This window comes from Homo sapiens, chromosome 3 (genome assembly GCF_000001405.40).
Source record: "Homo sapiens chromosome 3, GRCh38.p14 Primary Assembly".
In the NCBI taxonomy this organism is placed as follows: Eukaryota; Metazoa; Chordata; class Mammalia; order Primates; family Hominidae; genus Homo; species Homo sapiens.
The window spans coordinates 126,543,560-126,567,975 of NC_000003.12; the positions used below are offsets into that span (position 1 = coordinate 126,543,560).

The 24,416-nt window shown below is 48.9% G+C and overlaps 1 protein-coding gene, 1 long non-coding RNA gene and 1 pseudogene across 7 annotated transcripts in view, besides 2 other annotated features; 1 reads left to right on the forward strand and 2 right to left on the reverse strand.

Annotated features, from left to right (window-relative positions):
- C3orf22 (chromosome 3 open reading frame 22) overlaps positions 1-15,373 on the reverse strand; it is a 31,934-nt gene extending 16,561 nt beyond the window's left edge. Inside the window, exons 1-5 of one of the 6 annotated variants that reach the window (XM_011512457.3) lie at positions 15,068-15,373; positions 9,743-9,871; positions 8,438-8,563; positions 5,978-6,048; positions 2,205-3,041 (exon numbers count right to left, since the gene is read on the reverse strand). In XM_011512457.3, coding sequence (XP_011510759.1) covers positions 3,019-3,041; positions 5,978-6,048; positions 8,438-8,563; positions 9,743-9,831 — 309 coding nt within the window. In that variant the 5' untranslated portion in view covers positions 9,832-9,871; positions 15,068-15,373 and the 3' untranslated portion in view covers positions 2,205-3,018. The other 5 variants (XM_011512455.3, NR_130715.2, XM_017005751.2 and 2 more) reach the window with 5 other exon arrangements.
- Positions 5,513-6,394: an enhancer, noted in NCBI's record as "OCT4-NANOG-H3K4me1 hESC enhancer chr3:126267915-126268796 (GRCh37/hg19 assembly coordinates)". NCBI's record gives its function as "activates a minimal SCP1, AML or CMV promoter by ChIP-STARR-seq in naive H9 embryonic stem cells {active_cell/tissue: H9 hESC(naive)}" and the evidence as "EXISTENCE:reporter gene assay evidence [ECO:0000049][PMID:30033119]".
- Positions 6,395-7,277: an enhancer, noted in NCBI's record as "H3K4me1 hESC enhancer chr3:126268797-126269679 (GRCh37/hg19 assembly coordinates)". NCBI's record gives its function as "activates a minimal SCP1, AML or CMV promoter by ChIP-STARR-seq in primed H9 embryonic stem cells {active_cell/tissue: H9 hESC(primed)}" and the evidence as "EXISTENCE:reporter gene assay evidence [ECO:0000049][PMID:30033119]".
- An 80-nt stretch (positions 15,374-15,453) lies between the features above and the next one.
- LOC105374090 (uncharacterized) overlaps positions 15,454-24,416 on the forward strand; it is a 48,528-nt gene continuing 39,565 nt past the window's right edge. Inside the window, exon 1 of the long non-coding RNA XR_924455.2 lies at positions 15,454-15,630. This is a non-coding gene — a long non-coding RNA (uncharacterized LOC105374090). The remainder of the gene's footprint in view (positions 15,631-24,416) is intronic.
- On the reverse strand, positions 21,006-21,119 carry RNA5SP138 (RNA, 5S ribosomal pseudogene 138; annotated as a pseudogene).

Consider the following 24,416-nt stretch of genomic DNA (forward strand, 5'->3'; position numbering starts at 1 on the left):
GACCTGGGCCAAGGACTGAAGCCCACACCAGCTCAGCCAAGCCCTGGGCCTTGTGCTGCCTCCCACCTTTGTGCGTGTGTGACTGTGAGAGTGTGCATGAGTGTGTGAGTATATGAGTGAGAGTGTGCATAAGTGAGTATATGAGTGTAAGAGTGTGCATGTGTGCATGAGTGTGTGAGAGGAATTGTGTGTATGTGTATGTGTGAATGTGTGAGTGTGGGTGTGTCTTGGGCCACTTGTCTCTGAGCTCCCCCAGGGCTGTGTCCAGAGGCCCTGCCAGCAGGAATGGGGTGGCCAACTCCAGTGGACCTGGGAAGGGGCTGCAGCTGCCACTGGTTTCCCCATGAGGCCTCCCCCAGCCTGGGCCCTTCCCCCACTGGAGGGACATACAAAGCCCAGGGCCTTGCACCATTTCCAGCGTTCCCTGGGTGCTATGGTTTGAATATTTGTCCCCTCCAAAACTCATGTTGAAATTTAATCCACAATGTGGCAGTCTTGAGAGATGACCCAACCATTAAGACGTGACTGGGTCATGAGAGCTCTTCCCTCACGGATCAATTAATCCATTGGTAGTTTACTGGATTGATGGGTTGATGGATTAATGAGTCACCATGGGAGTGGGACCGGTGGCTTTATAAGAAGAGTAAATCAGACCTGAGGTAGTGTACTCAGCCCCCTCACCACGTGATGCTCTGTACCACCTCCGGACTGTCCAGAGCCCCTGTCAGCAAGAAGGCCCTCACCAGATGCAGTCCCTAACGCTGGGACTTTTCAGCCTCCATAACTGTAAAAAGTAAATTTCTTTTCTTTATAAATTACCCAGTTTCAGGAGCTCTGTTACAAGTAACAGAAAAGGGACTAAGGTACTGGGCCAGAGCCCCACTGTTTAGAGACAGGCTGAGGAGGGAAGGATGGGGCCTTGGCCACACTGGGGCCACTGTCTTTGTGAGGGGCTCCCTGGCCCTCACATGCTCCCTTAGAGGCCACACATGCTGTGTTCTAGGCCACTGTGTGTGCAATTGTTGCACACCCATTTTGATGACACATGCCTTTGTTCCCAGCTCACTCAGCTCCCACACAGCCCCCGATGGGACCTGTTTGCTGAAACTGACACCCATCTGGATGTCTCACTCCCAGGTGTCTCACAATTAGATGTGCCCTGCCTCCTGCTGTCATGCCCTCAGCACCTGGACATGCTGGCAGTTATCACACTCACAGTCCCTTGTGTGGGCAGCTACTCCACTGCTTCCCCACTGATGCCCCCATGTGTACATGCTGCAGGCACCCAGTGTCACCCAGACGCTGTGCCCACCACATGCAGCTCTGTACCCTCTGCTGTATGTGCAGGGCCACAGCCCAGGCCCTCGAGGACTGAGGGCGCTGGGGCAGCTCTGGAGGCTGTCCTTGGGGAACTCCACCTGCTCTGGCCTGCTGTGGCCTGTTTCCTCTCTGGCTGGTGCCAGAACGTCTGTGTCCTCACAGATCACAGGCTGACCACCCTGTGGGATCCCAGCTGGATCACTAGAGGATACAAGAAAGACAGGGTCACATGTGCAGAGCTGGACAACACAGGGGGGTGCCCAGGTGATTCTCCATCTGGCACCTCCTTCAGGCAAGTGATTGTTAAAACCATAGTCCAGTGCCCACAAGGGCTGATGGCACAAACCCAAGGTCACGCGGCATTTTAACTTCCTTGAAATTGTCTTTTACTTCCCAGGTTTTCAGTCTCTTAAAGTTGGATAGTGCTGGCAGGACACCTCCCAGGATGGGGTGCCATTGCTGGTTTGGGTTACAGACTTCTTTAAAATAAGTGTAAGTGCTCTTTTGCTTTTTTCTGGCTTTCATTGTCAGGAAAATGTTAACCAACTTTCTGCAGTTATGGGGTAGGGCTTGTTTTTCTTTTCAGTTTTATTCTGTGGCTTTGTCATTCAGGCAGCTTCCTGAGAGGGATGTTTCCAATGCTTAAAATTTAAAATAAATCCCTGGTTTCTCACAAACAGCGAGATGTAATGCATTATTGTTTTGGAAGCACAGCCGAATGCATCTGTGGGCTTCAGCAACGAGTAAGACAGTAGCAGGGTGAAGGCAAGGCCCAGGGCTGCTGCATGCAGCTCCAAATGTGTGTCACCAGCACACTCCAAGGGGTCAGTGGGCCCAGATCTCAGGATGCCACCTTTCCCCATCATGCTGTGGCTCCTGCATGAAGATAAAGGTGCGGCTGCCTGGGACAAAGGCTTGATGACAGTCGTTTAAGGTGTTTTCTGTTATCCAGAGGAAGGGGGCTGAGGGCTGGTGGGACAGATGCTCCAATGGGCCACTTGGAGCCCAGGACCCTTCTCTTTTGTTGCTCCCTAGTCCCTAGGGCCTGGCCCTTTTCCATGAGAGTGAGCCATTCACTTTTCAAGTATCCCAATGTCAAAGGGAAAAGAAGGGCACCCAAGCTGGCTTTAAAGACACAAACTGGACAGTCCATTCCATTTCCAGTGCAATGCCATTGGCCTGAACCTAGCCCACTGTATTCCCAGTGGCAAGGGAGTCTGGGAACTGACAGCCAGTTTTAGGTCGGGTGCCTCAATGCGCTCCCTAGCATCTGCAACCCTCCCGCAGTCTCCCTCTGACCACCAGGCCTCTTGGCCTGGGCACAAGAAGGCTGGGTGTGCAGGAGTTAGTGCCCCCTGGAAGCAGTCCTCACCTACATCTGTTGGAAGTCGGGCGATAAATGCTCCAGCTTTTATCCCTGCATGAAGGACATTGAGACACAATCTGCATGGTGCCCCAGATTTCCCCACGGGGACTGGGCACCAAATGCCCTCAGTGGCTGCTGTGGACTGAATTATGTTCTCCCCAGTCTTATGTGGAAGCCCTCACCCACAATGTGATGCTATTTGGCGATGGGGCCTTTGGGAGGTGATCAGGTTGAGATGAGGTCATGAGGATGCGGTCTCCATGGTGGGATTAGTGTCCTCATAAGCAGAGCCACTGGAGAGTTCTCTCTCTCTCCCTCCCCGCCTCTCCCTCTCACACAGGGAGAAAGCAGCCATCTACAAGCCCAGAAGAGAGAAGAGAGCCCCCATCAGGGAACCAAGGCAGCTAGCACTTTCACCTTGGACGTCCAGCCTTCCTTGGAACTGGGAGAAAATGAACATTGTTTAACTCCCCCCAGCCTGTGGTGTTTGCTACGGTGGTCCCAGCAGACTAAGCCGTGGTTGCCAGCTCAAGGGTACATTCCTTGTCTGGTTCCGTCCCTTCCCTGTCTCCTCCCTACTTCTCTATGGGCTAACTGGGATTGCCTCTCACAAAAACTACTCACACTCCATCCTTGCCTCCAGAGCTGGTTCTGCGGGACTGAGGCAAAGAGGGAATCAACCATAAATCCATGATGACATGCTGCTTTTGTTCCACTGGTCTTAAATGCTAGGTTAGTTTGGATCCTTTTCTGTGGCAGTGCCGACATGAATGTTGTTGCATACCCTCCTCCTGCATAGGTGTGAGTGTGACTGCAGGATAAACTCCTGGGAGAGGGTCCACACTCCCCAATGCACCTCCACCGTGCCTCATCCTTTCTACCTGTGGATCTGTGTTTGACTGTAACTGCTCACAGCTTAAGGGCACATGGGGACCCAGATGGCCTCAGAGATGCAGGGCACAGGGCCCATGTTGCTATCTGGGCCACTGTGTGAGCATTTCTAAAGTTTATGGAGTAGCTGTGCTTAGAGAGTATTGCTGCACCATCTCTCTCCTGTCAAACATTTCAGCTGTCACCCGCTCCTCTGCAAGGGCTTCCATGCGGTGCAGCTTCCTGGGGGCTCATTTTCTTCTTTGCAGGAATAACATGCACATAAACCTAAACTCAGTGCACAAGGCAGGGGCTGCAAACACATCCCAGCTGCCCTCAGATTCTTCCTTTAAACGCCCAGGAGAGGAGGCACGAATTACAGACCATGTATGTTTTTATAATTGACTCTGGATTCAGGTAATGAGTTACCAACTTTTTCTACAAACCACCACCAGCTTTGCTATCATGAGTGGAAGAGCAGGCAGCCAGCGACCCCTCCTGCTCCAGTCCCAAAAGCTCTGGGCCCTGCCTATAGTGCAGGTGTGGACCAGAGGGAACCTGGAGAGGCTGGGAACTCTCTGGAAATTGTTCTGGCAAGAGCTGATAAAGGAGGTGCTCAGGAGCCCTCCAACCAACCAACCAGCAAATCCTATCATGGGTTGGGGAGGGGAGACAGTACACCCCAGGGGACAGGGACAGGAATGCCTAGAGCAGCAGCACCCACAGTAGCACAAAGTGGAAACAACCCAGACATCTACCCAAAAGAGAATGGACACATCATGGAATGAGAAACAGTGGAAAATGAAGGAACTACAGCAGTAGCATCATCATCACATGACTCTTAGCAACTTGCTGTGGAGGGGAAAAAGTTGCAGAGTTTGACACAGTCTTATATAATTGAAAAAAGCAAACAATGTGTTATTTCAAGGAGTGCAGTGGTGCGATCTCAGCTCACTGCAACCTCCACCTCTTGGGTTCAAGCCATTCTCCTGCCTCAGCCTCCTGAGTAGCTGGCATCACAGGCGTATGCCACCATGCCCAGCTAATTTTTGTATTTTTAGTAGAGACGGGGTTTCACCATGTTGCCCAGGCTGGTCTCGAACTCCTGGGCTCAAGTGATCCACCTGCCTTCAGCCTCCCAAAGTGTTGGGATTACAGTCGTAAGCCACCATGTCTGGCCAAATTATAACATTTTTTAAGTGGGGAGAAAGATGTGGTGACCTGATGGGCAGGGTACGAGGGACTCAGGGTGTGGTGAAGTGGGGGAAGGAGCACCCAGCAGGGATAAGAGTGGGTCTCGTGTCCCTGGTTATGCTGCATGGTAAACATGCGTTGCTGTATTTTGCTTATATCAAACAGTGCATAGCTTAAACCTCAGAGACAACCTCCTCGAAGCTTATACAGTCCAAATGAAGATCAGCCTGGCTCCCACCCTCACAGGAAGGGACCCCAGGGATCTTTGCTTCCTGCAGGTCTGTGGGTGCTGCTGGAAGCTGTACTCTATCCCCAGGCAAATGCTGTGAGTCCCCTGCCTGGACCTGGGGTCCCACCTGGGGAGGGAGCCTGGAGTCTTGGCTGGGGCGGCACAGTGCAGCCCGGTCACCCTTCCCCAAACACCACAGATGTGACTCCAGGGTCTGCTTCGTGCAGGTTGGGAACCCACCCCTGTCCTGCCCCCAGGGCCTGGGAAGCCAACCCCCTTCAATCTTTTCATCACAAGGGTCCTCACTTCACTTCCTTTCTGAGACAATAAAGCCACTTGCCCACCTGGGGAGAAGACAATAAAGCCACATCCCACTCCAGGGAGAAGGCTGCAAAGTGTCCTGATTTTATTCACCCTCCCAAGGAACTCCAAGGTGACTTTCTAGCCCCTGTATTTGTAGAACACAGTGGGGGGACCCTTAAATCTTCAGCAGGCACCCCGCTGCCCAGTGCTGCTGTCTTGCTTTACAAAGGCATCACCAGCCTCCAGCAGCCACACCACGCTCCTTACATTACTGATGTTGTAATACAGGAATATGGCATTAGGCTCATGTATGACAACCCACAAAATGGTGTGCCTCACTCTCGGTCCTGTCCCCAGGTCCCCCATTCTCCTCCTCAAAGGTAATGATTGCTGCCTGCTCCTCATCCACGCCCCCCCCCCCACACACACACATACACACACCGTTTTTAGTAAACACAAGATGGCAGCATATCAGACACACTCTTCTGCTGTGCTTTTTAACAAAAATTGTAACAGACCTGTACATCATTCAGATCAGTCTATAAAGAGCTGCCTCTACATTTGAATGGCTGCCTAAGATTTCCGGGAGTAGTTGTATAATTTAGCAGTTTCCTGTGAGTGTTTAGCAAACAGTTTAGCTGCTTTCCAATCCTTTGCTGTTTCCAGCAGCACTGGAGTGAACAGCATTTACTTACCTGTGTGAGTGTACATTTGGGATAAAGTCCTAGAAGTGACATTCATGCTCTTTTTAATCCTCACACCAACCCTGCAAGATTAAACATTATTACAACAATTTTAGAGATGAGAAAATGAAGGCTCAGGGAGGCAAAGTGATCATTCCAGCTGGAAGTGGGGTGGGAACTCGCAGTTTATTAGCTTGGTGTAGCTTTTTGGGGGGACCACAAACCACTCCCGGTCTATGATGGCCATGAAGGCTGATCCCTTTACTAAAGTCTCTGTGGCTACTGCCCAGAGCCTGCCAAGGAGAAGGTGGCCAATAAGAAGGCCACACACAGAGCCCAGTCTCTAGGAGAGGCCCCTGGACAGCCCTGCCGCCTTGCTGGTCTGGGGGCAGGCAGCCTCAGTGTGCCGGGTGGACAGCAGGAAGGCGAGTTGTCTGGGGAAGCGGCGACTCAGCAACTTGAGTTCCCAAAGGTTGCACAGTGGAGGTGGTGATGGTGCTGGTAGTGGTGCCGGGCAGGAGCCAGACGGTGATGTAAAATCTGGAGCCCCGAGCCTAGAGAAGCCACACAGAGCCACGCCTGGCCTTCAGGACCCCTGCTGGCTGCAGCCATTGCAGCCCAGAGAAGTCAGCCAGGGCCACATCTGGGAGGGCTCCAACTGAGATCTACTCCCAACCAGGCTTGACCTGGCCCCTTCCACACAGAGGCTCTGCCACCTGATGTCCCAGGAAGCCATGGGGGCACCGCACACTCACCCCCCCACACAGGCTCCTCCAGCCACCTGACATCCAAGCCAGAATCTAGGAGCCTCCCCAGTGCCTCCTGAGCCCCAGCCCATAAGTGGCTGGGGACGTGGTCTCAAGTCCTGCCCAACCACTAAGCAAGCTTTATTTTTAGCACCTGCCGGAGGCATACTTACTTCTCTGCCATGCCAACCTGACTGTGAGGACACCCTCTGTCTCCCACTCCTCCTTCCAGCCCATCTCCCAGCAGCTACATGCAGGACCCAGCATGCCACCCACAGGCTTGACTGTCTCCGCAGCTCCCCGACAGGATGGCGTGGGAAAGCTCCCTTCTGCCTGCTCCCCATTGTTTTGCTGCCATTTGACTGAGGCTGACACCCACAGCCCCCTCCCTACCTCCTGTGCTCATGGGCCCGGCCGTAGAGATGTGGAAACCCACCAATGCCCACTCCCCCAGCCCTGGCATGGGACCAACTCCCTGCTGTGGCTGGGCCCTGGGAGCCGCTTGGTCCCTGGTCAATTATCTCTCCCCAGCCTTGGCTCAGCCCACTGCCCCCTTCAGCTCCCTGACATGTTCCCAGCAGCAGGGGTTCAGCCCCAGGCCTCTGCTCTGACCCCACAGCTGCCCCTGACTCTAAGCCAGTCCATTTTGCATGGGTAGAATCTGAGACCAGGAACATCTGAGCTCTCAGAGCCCAGCCCTGGCCGCTAAGCCCCATTGCTTCAGCTCGGCGATGTGGGGCAAAAGCCTGGGGATCTGATGCTCCTGTAGCCGAACTACGGGGAGTGAGGCCTGGCAAAGGCCAGGGCCGTTTGTGTGCTGGATGTGCATGTAAGTCTGTTCTTTGTGTGTGTGTGTGTGTGCGTGGCACTACTATCTCTCCAGGTGTGTGTTCAGGGGAACGCGTGTGCATCCTCATGGCTGGCCAGAGTTGACAGGCACTATATCAAACAATGGGCATGGAAAAGTCAACACAGACCCCCCCCTGCCCCTGACATTAACTGGAGTGGGCGGGGGGCCAGGGCATCAGTGGGGCCGGGGCATTCAGGAGGCTAGGGGTCCTGCACCGCTGGTGGAGGAAGCCCTTCGGTGCCACACAGCTGTTCCCCGTGCCGTGCATGACTGAGGAGACACCAGGTCAGAAGCTCTGTTTCTTTCTCCACATCTGTTTAGGAGGAAGTAGGTGTGCCTGAGGGTCTGCTTTTCCGTGGCTGGATCTTTCCAAAGGTGTGCAGGGTTTCTTTGAGCGCCCCATGCATGGGGTGACAAGGGGGCATGAGAGTTTGTGCTGTGGTCAGCTGAGGGCCACCCAGTGCAGAGGTCCCTGCCAGGGCCTCCACCCTTGGAGTACAGCATTAGCCGGCCCAGTGCAGCCACAGTGAGTGCAGAAGCTCCTGGCTCCTTCCCTTGCTGCTCTCCCATGTGGAGGACTTGGCTAAACTCCTGCTGCACTGAGGCCAGTTTCTCCACCACTCCTCCAACTAGGCCTAACCCCGGTGGCCTGGGCCCTGCCCAGGGAAGGTTCTGTGTGCCCTTGCCTGGATGCTGCCTGGCTGTGGGAACAATTATCAGGCTTTAGCATCCCCCTTCTCTGCCTCAGTTTCCTCAGCTTTAAAGTGGCGCGTGCTGGGAGGATAACATGAACGTCTGCATGCAAAACTGGGGGACAGAAAGCCAGGCAGCATGCACACAGCCAGTGGGGGTGGTGGCATCAGGGCAGGGACTTACCCTCGGACTGGGATGGACCTCGTTGGCACCAACCTCTTCTGCAGGGGCAGCTGCACCGTGTTCGAGTCGTTTGTGACCTCCCAGGGCTGCAGGGGCTCAGGGTCGGGCTCTGTCAGCCACGACAACCTGCAACAGCACTTGGAATGTCAACATGGCCACCATCCACCAGCCTCCTGAAGTAACTCTCACTCATCTGGAACTTTCCATCTGCTAGGCACTGTTCTAAGTGCTTCACAAATATTAGCCCATATGTCAGCTGACAAGCATGCTGTGAGGCAGGTGTTACCCACACTTTACAGACAAGGAAACTGAGGCACAGAGGTTCCACAGCCAGGAGGTGGGAACTAAGCTGCAGCCTGCTCCAGAGCCTTGTCATGGCCACAGCAGCCAAACGGTGCAGAGCACTTGAGCCCCTGGGTGCTGGCCTCCCCTGGTTTCAACCTGAGGCCACTCTGTGTGGTGTGTACCTGCCACCTGGGCCTCATGTGATGGTGTCTGCGGTGGGGGACAGAATGGGGTGCAAGGTTATGGCTACAGTTTCCTGGGGCAAGGACAAGAACAGGTGCTCAGCTGGCCCGGCACAGGGACACAGCATGGAGCTCATCGTCCCCACCTCCCTCGAGCGTGGCTGCCCTGGTGGTCCCCCGTGGTCCCTGTGGGTAGCCCTGCCAAGCATCCAGGGCCACTGCTGGGCGCACAACACTTGCTTCTGGGGTGGGGGGTGAGCATGGAGTGGGAAGCTTGAGGTTGCACGGTGCCAAGCTGAGCCCCAGTGCCAGGTGCTGCCTGCTGTCCTGCGGGTGGGAGGCCAGCTGCCCTGCGCCCCAGGCATTGCTGGCAAGATTTCCCTTGCATTTGTTTTGCCTCTTTGGCCCGTGGCTCTGTCCTTATGTGAAGTGCCCTGTGGAGACTTGGCCCAGGCCCCCTCGGGCTGCCCGTTATCCTGGCTAGTTGCGAGTCCCAGGAGCTCACAAACAATGGGTGCCCAGCACACCAATTCCAACACAGCTCAGGAGGGGCAGTCGTCTGTGGCCATGCTCCTCGCGTGACTTGGGGAAGCAGCTGGCCTGGGCTCTGGGATGACCCAGGGAGGCCTGAGCCCACCCAGAGGCCCCTCGGCTTAGGCTGTGATGGGGGTAACGAAGGCGGACCCCAGACTGTCAGCTGGGCAAGGGCTGCTAAGGGTCTCCCTGTGGACAAAACCCCCTCCCAGCTGCAGCCCCACAGAATGCATTTGAGTTCCCAGGATGCTGGGGTGACCTGGGGGAGGCAGGGCTTGTCTCCAGAGGTGTCAGCCTCCCGCACCTGTACGGAAACTTCTTGGCAAAATTCTCCTGGGCCTGGATCCTCCACTTCTTACTCTGGTGAGACTTCTTGCAGGCACTGGAGTCCATCACTGAGTGGGTTAAGCTGAGGCACACCTCTCAGCCATGGCTGGAAGACAAGAGGAGGCGTCAGAGGGGGCAGGGGTGGTGGGGGGCAGAAGGCAGAGTGATGAGTACCCAGCAGGGCTGGGGGTGCCTGCGGGCCGCCAAATGACCTGCATCACTGCCCTGTGCATGCACCGCTGTGTTCAATTTTCTCCTGCGTGTAGCTTCCTGTGACCACCGTAATCAAGGTCCTCACCAGACGCTCTCCCCAAGGCTCTCTCACGCTTACCCCTCCACAGCCACGCCTGTCCACAGCCCGGTTCCCCAACCCTGGCAGCCACTGATCTGTCCTCATCATGGGGCAGCCATGTGATTTCAGGAGCGCTATGCGGAGGAACTGCACACGAGGTGTGTTTCTGAGACTGGCTCCTTCTCATCCATTTCTTCCAGATCAGCCCAAACTTCACCCACAGTCTGTCCCTCCTGCTGCTGAGCACTGTTCTAGGGTGCGGTTGTGCAGCTTCTCAGGCCTCCAGCTTGGGGCACTTACAAAGCCACTGTTAATATTCAGATGTAAGTTTTTGCATGAAAATAAGTCTTCATTTCTCTGAGATATATTGCTGGGTCATATGGTAAGTCCATTTCTAGTTTTCTGTTTGTTTGTTTTGAGACAAGGTCTTGATCTGCCGCCCAGGCTGGAGTGCCGTGGTTGATCACGGCTCACTGCTGCCTCAACCTCCTGGGTTCAAGTGATCCTGCCACCTCAGCCTCCCGAGTAGCTGGGAGCACAGGCATGTGCTACCATGCCCCACTAATTATATATTTTTGTAGAAATGGGGTCTAACTATATTGCCCAGGCTGTACATACATTTTTTGTTTGTTTTGTTTTTCTGTTGTTTTTTTTTTTTTTTTTTTGAGACGAAGTCTCGCTCTCGTCCCCAGGCTGGAGTGCAATGGCATGATCTTGGCTCACTGCAACCTCTGCCTCCCAGATTCAAGCAATTCTCCTGCCTCAGCCTCCCAAGTAGCTGGGATTACAGGCGCCTGCCACCACGCCTGGCTAATTTTTGTATTTTTAGTAGAGACGGGGTTTCACCATGTTGGCCAGGCTGGTCTCAAACTCCTGACCTCAGGTGATCCATCCGCCTCGGCCTCCCAAAGTGTTGGGATTACAGGCGTGAGCCACCGCGCCTGGCCCGGCTGTACATACATTTTAAAGCACCCCAGGTGAGCAGAGTTAGGTGAGCATTGAGACTACTGGAGGGTAAGGTCTGACCCCTGGTGTCCTTTGTGGCAGCATGTCACCTGTTCCTTCTCACTGGTGTGTTTTCATGGTAGCCACCTCAGCCAGCATGCCACCACACGGGACCCTGAAGCATGTTGTGACAATGCCGACTGCCTGCCAGTTTCCCCAGGTGCCACATTTCGTCCCCTGAGCTGACAAGTGAAGCCCTGGTCAGGGAGTGGGGCTGATTCCTGGTCTGGGGGGCTGGGTCCTTGTGGCCTAGCCAGGTGGTGGCCTTTCTCTGGGACTAGCACCATCCAGTAGAACTTTCTGAGATGATGGAAATGCCCTAGGTCCGTGCTGTCCGAGACGGCAGCTGCTGGCTACATGAGGCTATCAGCTGAGCATGACTGAGGGACTGAATAGTTTTCAGTTGTATTTAATTCTAATAACTGTGAACGGCTAGCTGCTCATGGCTAGTGCCTGCTGCATTGGACAGCACAGCTCTGGCCACTCGGAGGAAGTCTGCTGCTTCCCTGGGTGTGGTTCTAGCGACAAGCTTGGAGGCTGCACTTCACCAGAACCCTAGGCCTGAGTGTTTGGCTCCTGTCCTCTCTCAGGAAGGCCAGCCCTTTGGTCAAGGTGACCCCTGATGCGTGCTTCCCTGGCTGCTGGGGGTTCTCAACCAGCCATGCTGTGCCGAAGCCCCGTGTTTATGACACTGAGGAGGCATCACCTGCCCATTCAGAGGAGAGATGAGCAGTCTTTGGGGGCCATCACCCTTTGAGGCCAGGACGGTACAGTCGCAGGAGACCTGACACGGTGCAGGCTAGACCCCGCTCCAGCATGGAACTGGGCCGCACAGCAGGAGGTGGGTGGCAGGTGAGTGAGCATTATCACCTGAGCTCCACCTCCTGTCAGATCAGCGGCAGCATTAGATTCTCATAGGAGCGCAGGCCCCATTATGAACTGAGCATGTGGGGAATCTAGGCTGCATGCTCCTTATGAGAATCTAGCTCATCCCTGATGATCTGAGGTGGAACAGTTTCATCCCCAAACCAGCCACCACTCCCTGCCACAGTGTCCATGGAAAAATTGTTTTCCATGAAACCGTGGTGCCAAAAAGGTTAGGGACCACTGGACTAGAGCCACCCCCTGGCCTCAAAGACCCTCTAACACCCTTGCCAGCCACCCCCTACCTTCCTGCTCCATAACCCTGCCCCTCCAGGGCTGTGCCAGCTTTGTCTCCGCAGGCTCCCCAGCCCCACTGCCCTCTGGGAGGTCCCTTGATGGACAGGGCCATGTAGTGTGCCTTGCAGGGGCAGGGGTGTGGCCCTGAGGAATGTCTGCCTCCTCCCACATCTGGTGGGCAACATCGGGACAGCCCAGCTCACAGGCCTGCCAGCCCCTCCACACCACACCCTGTCCCATCCTACCTGGTGCTCCACTGAAAGCCCTCAGCCTAGAGGATTGTGCACTGCTTTGGTGGGGATGCCCCAGAAGCAGGGAGCCTGCATGCCAGTGAGGACCTGGCTTCAGCCTGAGATTTGCAGCAGATGCTGTCAGGGGCCCATGCACAGCACCTCTGCCCTCACCTCCACACCTGGAGGCCAGGCCTTTGACTCCCTCCGGCTGCAGAGATGCACTAGGCCATGCACAGAGAGTGACAGCAGCCCCTCACCAATGAGGGCAGGGAATTGGATAAATACCCCAGCTCCCTTGCCCCTCTTTGGGGGCAGCTCGGAGCTGTGCTCTGCACAGTCACCCACAGCAGCCTGTGGGGGCTGGCTGAGCTGCAGCCATGGTGAGGACACACCCCAGAGTGCATCCTCCCTTCCCCTTCCCTCCCCACATCCCACTTTCCTCTCAGCGCCTCCTGGGTGCAGCTCCCAAGTGCAGCTCTGCACTTGCACCTGTCCAGGGCCTGCTTGGGGACTGCACATCTACACACTCATGCCCAGCAACCGCTGCAAACGCCCCAGCCTCAGAGGACCCAGGCCAAGAAGGCGGCCGCTAAGCAGGTTTCCCACCTCGCCTCACTGACTGCCGTTCCCACACACACACACACACACACTCACTCTCACAGACACACACACTCATTCTCACACACACACTCACACAGACTGACCCCACACACAGACTCATACTCACAGACTCACACATACGCACACTCACACAGACTCACACACTCAGACTCACACACACTCAGGCTCACCCACACACACAGACTCACATACACACTCACACACAGACACCCCCCACACACAGACTCACATACACACACACACACAGACTCACACACATGCTCAGACTCACACACATAGACACACACAGACACATACACACTCACACACTCATACACACAGACACACATAGATTCACATACACACACATACAGACACATAGACACATACACACAGACCCACACAAACTCACATACACATACACAGATTCACATACACAGACTCACACATTCACACACAGATTCACACACACACAGATTCACACTCACACACAGACACATACAGACACTCTTACAGACTCACACTCAGACCTGACCTCATACACACCCCCACACACAGGCAGGTGGCCATCTGGGTGTGGCTGGCCTCAGCTCTGTCCCTATCCTCTGCTGCGTGACCTGGGAGCTCCTCGCTTCCTTGGTCCAAGGCAGAGGCTGCCCCCACCAGCCCATAACGCACCTTGCTTCCCTTCCCAATTCAAAGCAGCTGGCGTGACCTACTACCACACCTGGCATGATTCAAAATCCGATGATGTCTGGAGAGGAGCCCCTGGGGAACACGGGTAGCCCTTTCCAAATCTGGGATTCCGGAGTCCTCCAAAAGCCGGTGGGCTCGGGCAAGACTGCTCGGCAGTGATCCCATAATGTGCCATGCTGCTCATCCATCCCTCTGAGGGCGGGGTACTGGGCTAGCTGGGAGGCTGCCTGCCGCCAAGTGTGGAATCACTCAAGGCCCGAGGCGGGAGGCTGCACACTGGACACTGAACACAGGCCACTGGGACCATGGCCATGGCATGGGAGACCAGCCTGTCTGTGAGCCAGAACACACCCGCTCACCCACCGCCTCCGTGCCCCATCTCTGACTCTGGAAGATCAGCCATCCAGAGGGCCTTTGCCCTGGCCCAGAAATACTGCCAGCCCTGCTCACGACCTGTCCCTTGCCCGCACCAAGAAGTCCCTGGGCCCTGAAGGGCAGGCTTCCCCACTGACTTGCCCACTAGTCTAGTACAGGGTGCAGCTCTCTACACCAGTGCTGGCTAAAGGGGGTCTTGGTGGCCTCCGCCCCTGCAGCCCTGGCTGTTCTGAGGACTCTGGGATGCCTTCGCTGGGCCTAAGCCCACAGTCCTGCAGCCACAGCCTGGGCCAGGCCCCAGCTCAGCCCCTTCCTGTCAGGTGCACTTGGGTGAGTCACCTCCAGCCCAGGCTCAACCCTGAGGAGTGCGGGGCAGGGGAAGCCTGGGCCGGGACAGGCAGCAGGGCCACAGCAGGAGGCTGCAGAATGGTGCCTGTGGCCTCTAAGTGTCTGCTACATTCTATGCATAACCTCACTTCATTTTTTTTCTACCTGATGGAGAACGTATTATGCTCACCCCCATAATTCAAGTGAGGAAACTGAGGCTCCGGAAAGTTAACTGATTTGCCTGCATTCACACAGTGAGTCGGGGAAGAGGTTCAGGATGGGTGGCCTGTGCTCCTCCTGCTGGGCCATGCAGCCTCAAACAGTCCTGAACCGGGGAAGCAGCATTACCACAGGAATTGAGGGATCAAGGGAGACAGGAGCGCCCCTCAGCCCCACCCCATACCCTCCCACCTGACCCCTAGGTCATGGAGATGACCCTGTAAGCTGACTGCTGAATCTGCCCCACAGGGACAGGGCTGCTGCAGAGTCCAGGGCTGCCCTCTGCCATCATGACCCTGTCCCAGGCTCTTCTCCGCCACCCTGTTGCTGCTTCCCAAGTCCCTAACCGACTTGGGGACTGTCCTTTCCAGCCACACAGGCTGCTAGCACTCACCAGGCAGCTACCTTGAATTCTGGCAGTGACGATGATCAGGTGTGATCAGAGAGTCCTGGAACTGCTCCTATCCAGCAAGATGCTGGTGTGAGAGCCGCTGTGGCCCCCGAGGCTGGCAGGGCCCTGGCTACAGCCCTCTCTGGAAAGACCCAGTCCCAGGCTATGCCCAGAGCTTCCAGCCAGAAAGGACAAGCTGCAGGACCCTGTGGGCTGGCTTATGTGACGCCAGGCAGACTGAAGCTGGCCATGGTCCCAGCTGCCACATTACCACAGGAACAGCAGCCCCAGGGTCCCCGGACAGGCAGTGCCAACAAGCTCACTGCAAGGTCAGAAGCCCTTGAGGTCACAATTGGTGACATCACAGCTGCTGACCCATGAGGCTCAGACTCCAGCCTGAAGCCCCTCTGGCCCAGGGAGTGACTGCAAAGTCAGCAGCACATGGGCCAGGGCTGGCCAGCCTCTCAGCTCCACGCACCCAGACAGAAGCATCCACATCTGCACTCTTCATAGCAGAGACCTCTCCCTGTTCAGGTTCTGCATACAGAAGAGACGCCCAGAAATAGGTACAGACACTGAGGCTGCAGAAAAGCTGTTTCTGTGGAGGAGTGGACACCAGGTTGCAGGGGGTTGAGGAAGGAGAAGGCAGTGAAGGAGCTGAACTGGAAGTGGTTCAGCCGTTCACCTGTGCCACTGTCTACTGTACCCTACGACTTTTCACTTATTAGTGCTGTTCACCTGTGCCACTGTCTGCTATACCCTACGGCTTTTTACTTATTAGTGCTAACAGGGTTTTTATGGATTATTTAGGGTTTTCTATATGCCATCTGTGAACGGAGGTAACTTCACTTCTTCCTTTCCAATTCGAATGCTTTATATTTCCTTTTCTTGCTTAGTTGCTCTGGCTAGAACTTCCAGTACTGTGTTAAATAGAACTGGGGAAGGTGGGCATCCTTGTCTCCTTCTTGATCTTAGAGAAAAAGTTTCCAGTTTTTCACTATACAGTATGGTGTTGGCTGTGGGATTTTTGGATATATTGCCTTTATCATGTTAAGGAGTTGAGTGTTTTTATCATGAAAGAGTGTTCAATTTTGTCAAGCGTGTTTTCCACATCAATTGAAATGATCATGTCTTTTCCTCCTCATTCTAATAATGTAGTGTAGTACATTGATATTTTCATTATGAAAAAATAATCCTTACATTCTAGGGATAAATATTACTTGTTAATAGTGTGTAACACTTTTAATATGCTGATGAATTTCATTTACTAATATTTCATTGAGGATTTTTGCATGTGTATTCATAAGGGATATTGGCCCCTAGTTTTCCTTTCTTGTAGGGTCTTTGTCTGACTTTGGTATTAGGGCAATGCTGGCCTCACAGAATGAGTTAGGAAATGGTCCCACCTCTTCAACTTTTAGAAAAACTTTGAAAAACATTTATGTATGTTCTTTAGTAAGTGTTTGTTAGAATTCACGAGTGATATCATGTGGCCCAGGGCTTTTCTTCGTTACTGATTCAATCTCTTTACTAGTTATGAGTCTATTCATATTTTCTATTTCTCCCTGATTCAGTCTTGTTGGTTTTTTTTTTTTTTGTTTCTAGAAATTTGTCCATTTTATCTAGGTTATCCAATTTGTTGGCGTGACATTTTTTGGCGTATTCTTTCATAATCCTTTTTATTTCTGTATGGTCAGTAGTAATACCTCCCACTTTCCTTTCTTATTTTACTAATTTGAGTCTTTTTCTTTCCTTAGTCAATCTAGCTAAAGCTTTGTTAATTTTGATCACTTCAAAAATCGCCTTTTGGTTTTGTTGATTTTCTCCATTGTTTTTCCATTCTCGACTTGATTTATCTTTAACCTTCATTATTTCCTTACTTCTGCTAGCTCTGGATTTAGTCTGCTCTTCGTTTTCTAATTCCTTAAATTGTGTAGTTAGATCATTAATTTGGGATCCTTCTTATTTTTAAGATGTAGACATTAATAGCTACAAGTTTCCCTCTTAGCACTGCTTTCTCTGCATACCATAACATTTGGTATGTTGAGTTTTTCTTTTAATTCATATCAAGGCATTTTCTTTTTTCTTTCTCTTTCCTTCTTTTCTTTTTTTTTTTTTTTTTTGAGACAGTTTCACTCTGTTGCACAGGATGGAGTGCAGTAGCGCAATCTCGGCTCACTGCAACCTCTGTTTCTTGAGTTCAAGTGATTCTCATGCCTCAGCCTCTCGAGTAGCTGGAAATACAGGCAGGTGCCACCACGCCTGGCTAATTTTTGCATTTTTGGTAAAGACTTGGTTTTACCATGCTGGCCAGGCTGGTCTCAAACTCCTGGCATCAAATGATCAACCCATCTCAACCTCCCAAAGTGCTGGGATTACACGAGTGAGCCACCGTGCCTGGCCTAATTCATATCAAGGCATTTTCTAAATTCCCTTGTGGATTTATTCTTTGACCTACTGGTTGCATAAAGTGTGTTATTTAATAGGCAAATACTGTAATTTTTCCAGTTTTCCTTCTGTCATGGATTTCTAGTCATTCCGTTGTGATAAAAAATATACTTTGTATGATTTGAATCTTCTTAGGCTTATTAAGATTTATTTTATGGCCTAATATGTCCTGGAGAACATCCTATGTACATTTAAGAAGAATGTATATTTTGCTATTGTTGGGTTTAGTTTTCTATATAATCTGTTAGGTCTAATTGGTTTAGAGTGTTGTTCAAGTGCTCTATTTCTTTTTCTTTTTTGAGACAGAGTCTCACTCTGTCACCCAGGTTGGAGTGCAGTGGCATGATCTCAGCTCACTGCAACCTCCATCTCCCAAGTTCAAGCAATTCTCCTGCCTCAGCTTCCAAGTAGCTGGGAATACAGTCGTCCACCACCACGCCCAGCTAATTTTTGTATTTTTAGTAGAGACAGGGTTTCACTGTGTTGGCCAAGCTGGTCTCAAACTTCTGACCTCAGGTGATCCACCTGCCTCAGCCTCCCAAAGTGCTGGGATTACAGGCGTGAGCCACTGCACTCAGCCTCTATTTCTTTATTGATCTTCTTCTGTTTGGTTCTATCGATTATTGAAATTTGGGTATTAAAATCTCCATCTATTACTGTAGAACTATTTCTTCCTTCAATTTTATCAATTTTTGCTTCATATTTTTGGGGGTTCTGTTGTTAGGTGCATATATGTTTATGATAGCTATATATTTTGATGGATCAACCCTTTTATCAATGTTTAATGTTCTTTGTCTCTTGTAACCTTTTTGACTTAAAGTCTATTTTGTCTGACAATAACATATCAATGCAAGCTCTCTTTTGGTTACTGCTTTAATGGAATATCTTCTTCCACCCTTTTACTTGCAATCTATATGAGTTTTGAATCTAAAGTGATTCTTTATAGACAGCACATATATGGGTCTTTTATATATTCTGCTAATCTTTGCCTACTAATTGGATAATTTAATCCACTTTCACTTAAAGTAATTACTGAGAAGAAAGAACTTACTTCTGCCATTTAGTATTTCTTTTCCTTATGTCTCATGTGTTTTTTGGTCCTCAATTTCACAATTACTGCCTAAGCTGTAAAGTTACTTGATTTTTGTAGCGTACTACTTTGAGTCTTTTCTTCAGTCTTTTTCAGTATAGTTTTTAGTTACTATCTTAGTGGTTTAACTTGGAGGTTACAATCAACACCTTACACTTATAACCTCCTAGTATGAATAGCAACTTAGTTAAAATTATATATAAACACTCTACTCCTGTATCTCTTCATTACTCCACTTTATATTGATTGTCACAAATTACATCTTTATACATTGTGCACCCATTAACATAAATTTGTAATTATTCCTTTATGCACTTAACTTTTAATTCCTAAGGTAAAAAAGGAATTATATACTAAAATTACAGTCATACTGACTTTTATATTTAGCTATGTAACTACCATTACCAGTGTTCTTATTTTGTATTATAGTTTCAAGTTTCTGTCTAGCATATTTTCATTTCTGCTAAAACCCTCCCTTTTCCCTTTAGCATTTCTAATAGGGAAAGTCTACTGATAACAACCCCCCTTTTTTGCTTTTGTTATTTGGAAATGTCTGAAGTTTTCCTTCATTCTTAAAGTATCATTTTGCTAAAAATAGAAATCTTGGTTGACACCTTATTTTTCTTTCAGGACTTTAAACATGGCATCCCTTTCCTGTGTAGCCTTCATGGTTTCTGATGAAAAATGAGCTGCTAATCTTATTGAGAATCCCTTGTACGTGATGAGTAGCTCCTCTCTTGCTGCTTTCAAGATTCTCCATTTGTCTTTGAGTATTGACAGTTTGACTATAATGTGTGTTGGCATGAACTGAGCTTTTTGAATGTGTATTATTATGTCTTTCATCAGATTTGGGAAGTTTTCAGCCGTTGTTTCTTCAAATATTCTTTTATGTCCCTTTCTTTCCCTCTCTTCTCCTTCTGGGACTCTAATGCTGTGTATGTTATGCTTGATGGTGTCCCACAGGTATCTCAGCCTCTATTCACATTTTTCATATTTTTTCTTTATATTATTCAAACAATAATTTTTATTGCCTTATCTTCAAGTTATGGGTTGAACTGTGTCCCTCTGAAATTTATATGTTGAAATTCTAAACCCCAGCACCTCACCATATCACTTTTTTGGATATAAGATCATTGCAAATTAGTTAAGATGAGGTCACACTGGAGTAGGAATGGTCCCCTAATATAATATGACTCGTGTCCTTGTAAGAAGGGAAAATTTTGGATGTAGACACAAACTTAGGGAGAATGCTGTTTAAAGATAAAGACAGAGAACTGCAAGCCACAGAATGCCAAATAATGCTAGCAAACCACCAGAAGGTAAGAGAGAAGGATGGAACAGGTTCTGTCTCACAGCTCTCAGAGGGAACCAACCCTGCCATTTTGGACATATAGCCTCCAGAACTGTGAACCAATAAATTTCTGCTGTTTAAGCTACTGAATGTGTTTGTGTTCATTATGGCAGTCCTAGCAAACTAATTCTATGCTTTGTTTTTGGTTTTGTCTTACTGAGAACTGTACATTCTGAGTACTGTAATGTGGAAACTCTGGAAACCACATATTCCCACTCCTCAGGAATTATTTTTGTTTATTGAGGGTTGGAGCCACCTATTTGTGACTTCTTGAAAATTTTATAAAGTGTGTATTCATTGTGGAGTGTGGTTGCTGGAGTTTGTTCTCTGTGGTCAGCCAGTGACTTGACAAAGATTTCCTTAAATGTCTGGCTCCCAAAAAGGGCAAAATAAAAATAAAATATCTCTTCTTAAAAATTACTATTTCTCTAATTACCCTTGTGGCAGAGAAGCTGTTTCAGATTGTGGGAGTTGAAAGAATGACCAGCCTCTGAGCCATCCCCCCAGCAACCAAATGCAGCCATCAGCAGTCAAACACACATCCTGGTTTGTGAAGGACAAGGTCCTTATTGCCCACTCTGGCACCAGCAGGTCACACCATGAACATAAGCTGTCATCCCATGGCTGCCTGCCACACTGCTAGGGAATGGAGGATATTAGGCACTATTAGAAACATGGAAATTCACCAGCTTCTTCATCAGGTTCTTCCATGGATGATGCAAGTTTTCAACTAGACTCCAGAGTTCCAAAATAGCTGCTTTGGAAACTTCCTGACAGCTCAATTGTTATCTCAGTGGAGGGATGGATTCCTGGCATGTCCTATGCCATCATTTCCCATAATGTCATTTCTGTTCATTCATTTTTATTGCTGAGTAAATTTCTTGGTATGAACGTGCCATAGTTTGGTTAACTATTCACCTGTTAAAGGACATTTTGGTTGTTTCCAGGTTGAGGCTGTTATAAGTAAGGCTGCCACAAACATTCAGATACACACAGAAATGAACATAAGCCTTCATTTCTCTGGGATAAATGCCCACCCATTGGATTTTTAGTTTCTACCATCAAAATTGACATTTTTTCCCATCGAAGTACTAACCAGGCCTGACCCTGCTTAGCTTCTGAGATCAGATGAGGTCAGGTGTGTTCAGGGTGGTATGGCCATAGAGAAAATTCACATTTCTAATATTTCTAATAGTTATCTTTTGGGTCTCTGAATGCTACTTTTGATAATATATTCTATGTTCAGGTCATGATTGTAATACATTCTCTCTGAGGATTTCTGTAATACTCCCTGTTTCTCTCAAGTCTGATGATCTTTCTCTACTCATATTAAATGTTGGAGATTAAAAAGATGTTTGGATTTGGGGGACATGGAACTGTCCTTTATCTTTATTCTAATGGTAGTTTTACAATTGTGTTTTCTGGACTCAGAACTGTACACCTAAAAACTGAATTTGATTATAAGTAAATTATGTCTTAATTTTTAAAAATTAAAAAGAAAAACAGCATTTGAAGGCTCTAAGCATGCGTTCATGGCTTACTGAATTTGAGCTTCCTTGTCAGATAATCTAACTGGGTAAGTTTACTTAAGGACGTTTACTCAGTATCTTTAAGTCTTCCCTTAGGGGCCTATAAGACTACCAATCTCTGGCTAGAGCAAGGGTGAAGGGCTCATTGCCAGAGTTGTGGAAGGTGAGTGAGAGAAGAGGTCTGAGGATTCAGGAAGTATTTGTTCATCTCAATATTGTGCTAGTGTAGCATCCATGTCTCTATTTGTGCCTAGTGCCTTGTAGTCAAGAGATCCTTGGTTTTAACCCTCTCCAGCAAATAACCTTCTGGACAGTACAGAAAATGCCCTGAAAGGTGGTGGGAGGTGGGAATCCCATTGTCTCATAAGTAAACTTTCAAAGAATCTACTTTATCTCAGCTGGCCACCACACCCCAACCTGTTCACTTCCTTTTCCAGAGGCACATGGTGCCAGCACTTTGAGATTTTGATTACTTTGATATAAAGTCAGAATGGGTTCTTGACTTTCCCCCATACCATCTCAGAATTTTATTTCTTTTATATGCTGGGTTATTTTCCACTCATCTACTGCTTTTCTTTCCAAAATTTCACTGCTTGACTGTTTGTCTCTTCTCCTATGCTGAAAGAAATTAAAGAATACCTAAGTAAATGGAAAGACAACCTGTGTTTATGGATTGGAAGATTTAATATTAAGATGGAAATACTACCTAAAATGTTCCACCAGTTCAATGTCATCCCTATCAGAACAGATTCAGTGCAATACTTATCAAAATCCCATTCATTTTGTGCAGATATGGAAAAGCTGATCCTCAAATTCGTATGGAAAGGCAAGAGACCCTGAATGGGCAAAACAATCTAGAAAAAGTAAGACAAAGTTGGAAAACCCACACTTCTTAATTAGAAAACAGGCTACAAATCTACACTAATCAAAACATTGTGATACTAGCATGAGGATAGACATAGATCAATAGGGTAGAATTGAGTTTCCAGAAATAAACCCATAAATCTATCATTAATTGTCTTTTTACTAGGGTACCAGGACCATTCAACGGGGAAAGAATTGTCTCTTTAACAGATGGCACTAGGACAACTGAATATCTGCATGTAAAAATATTAAATTGGACCCTTACATTGTACTACACACAAACATTAGCTAAAAACAGATCTAAAGTCTGAATATAACACTCTTAAAAGGAGTCTTCCAAACTATAAAAGTCTTAGAAGGAAGTATAGGTTTAAATCTCCATATCCTTTCATTGGACAAGGGTTTCTTAAATATAACATCAATAGTGCAAGCAACAAAATAATAAATAGATTAACTAGACCTTGTCAAAACTAAAACCTTTCATGCTTCAAAGGATATTATCGAGAAAGCCAAAGACAACCCATATAATGGGAGAAAATACTTGCAAATATGATAATGGTTTAACATTCCAGATTATATAAAGAACTCTTACAAATCAACAACAACAACAAAACACCAATTTAAAAAGGTGCAAAGTACTAAAATAGACATTTTACCCAGGTAGATATACAAATGGCCAACAAGCAAATGAAAACATGCTCAACATTGTTAGGCATCAGCAAAATGCAAATAAACCACAGGGAAATACTACTCCACATCCATTAGGATGGCTATTAGCCGAAAAAAAGGAAAAACCAAGTGTTGACGAGGAGGTGGAGAAATCAGAACCCTCTCACATTGCTGGAGGGAATGGAAAATGGTACAGTGGCTGTGGAAAACAGCCCGCCAGGGCCTCAGAAAGTTAAACATAGGATTACCAGAAGACCCAGTGATTCCACTCCTAGGTATATTTACCAAATGATTGAAACAAGGACTCAGGCAGATTCTTGTACACTAGTATTCATTGCGGAATTATTTATAATAGCTAAAAGGCAGAAACAACTCAAGTATCCATCAACAGATGAATGTATAAACAAAATGTGTTATAGCCATACAATGGAATATTATTTAGCATGAAAATGAATGAAGTACTAGTTTATGCTACAACAGGATAAACTTCAACAACATTAAACTAAGTGAAATAAGCCAGGCACAAATGGTCATATATTATTCCAATTTTGTGAAATATCTAGAATAGACAAATTCATAGAGACAAAGTAGAATAGAGTTTGTCAGGAGCTGGGGAGGTGGGAAATTGGGAGTTACTGTTTAATGGGTATGGGGTGTCCCTTTGAGATGATGGAAATATTTTGACAAGAGGTGGTGGTGGCACAATATTGTGAATGTACTAAATGCCATTGAATTGCACTCTTTAAAATGATTAATTCATGTGAATTTATCTCAATAAACACAACTCCACCCACCGCCCCCTACACACAGATGAGCCTAGAACATCTTGTTTGCCAGAAAGCAAGTCAGTGATCAAAGAGTGATGAGGACACTTCAAAATGACCCAGAACCAGCTTGAATTGGTCAAATCAGGGACAATCTGTATTTTATTAACTCAGCAACAAAAAGAAACAAACTACTGATGTCCACAACAATGTAGATTGGTCTCAAATGCATTCTGCTAAATGAACAAAATGAGCCACTATAGACTACATACCATGTGATTCTACTTGCAAAACTATAGTGACAGAAACAGACCAGTGGTTGGCAGGGGTCAGTACTGAAGGGGAGTGGACTGATTTCAAATAGGCACTAGGGAACATTTTTGGGGTTATAGAATTATTCTATATAACCATCATGGTGGCTACCTCAATAAAGTGGATAGGAAATAGAACTATCTGCCCATGTTTGAAAGAGACTTCACATTTCTCCACTATTCAGGGAACCCAGCTGCCATGGCCCGCATGACCCAGGTGGTCACAGGGGGCCAGGTGAGTGGAGACTGCCCCTTGACAAGGCCCATGTGCTCTTTGGACACCTGGGCTGCTTCACTCATTTGTGTCAGCGCTGGACTCCAAGGGT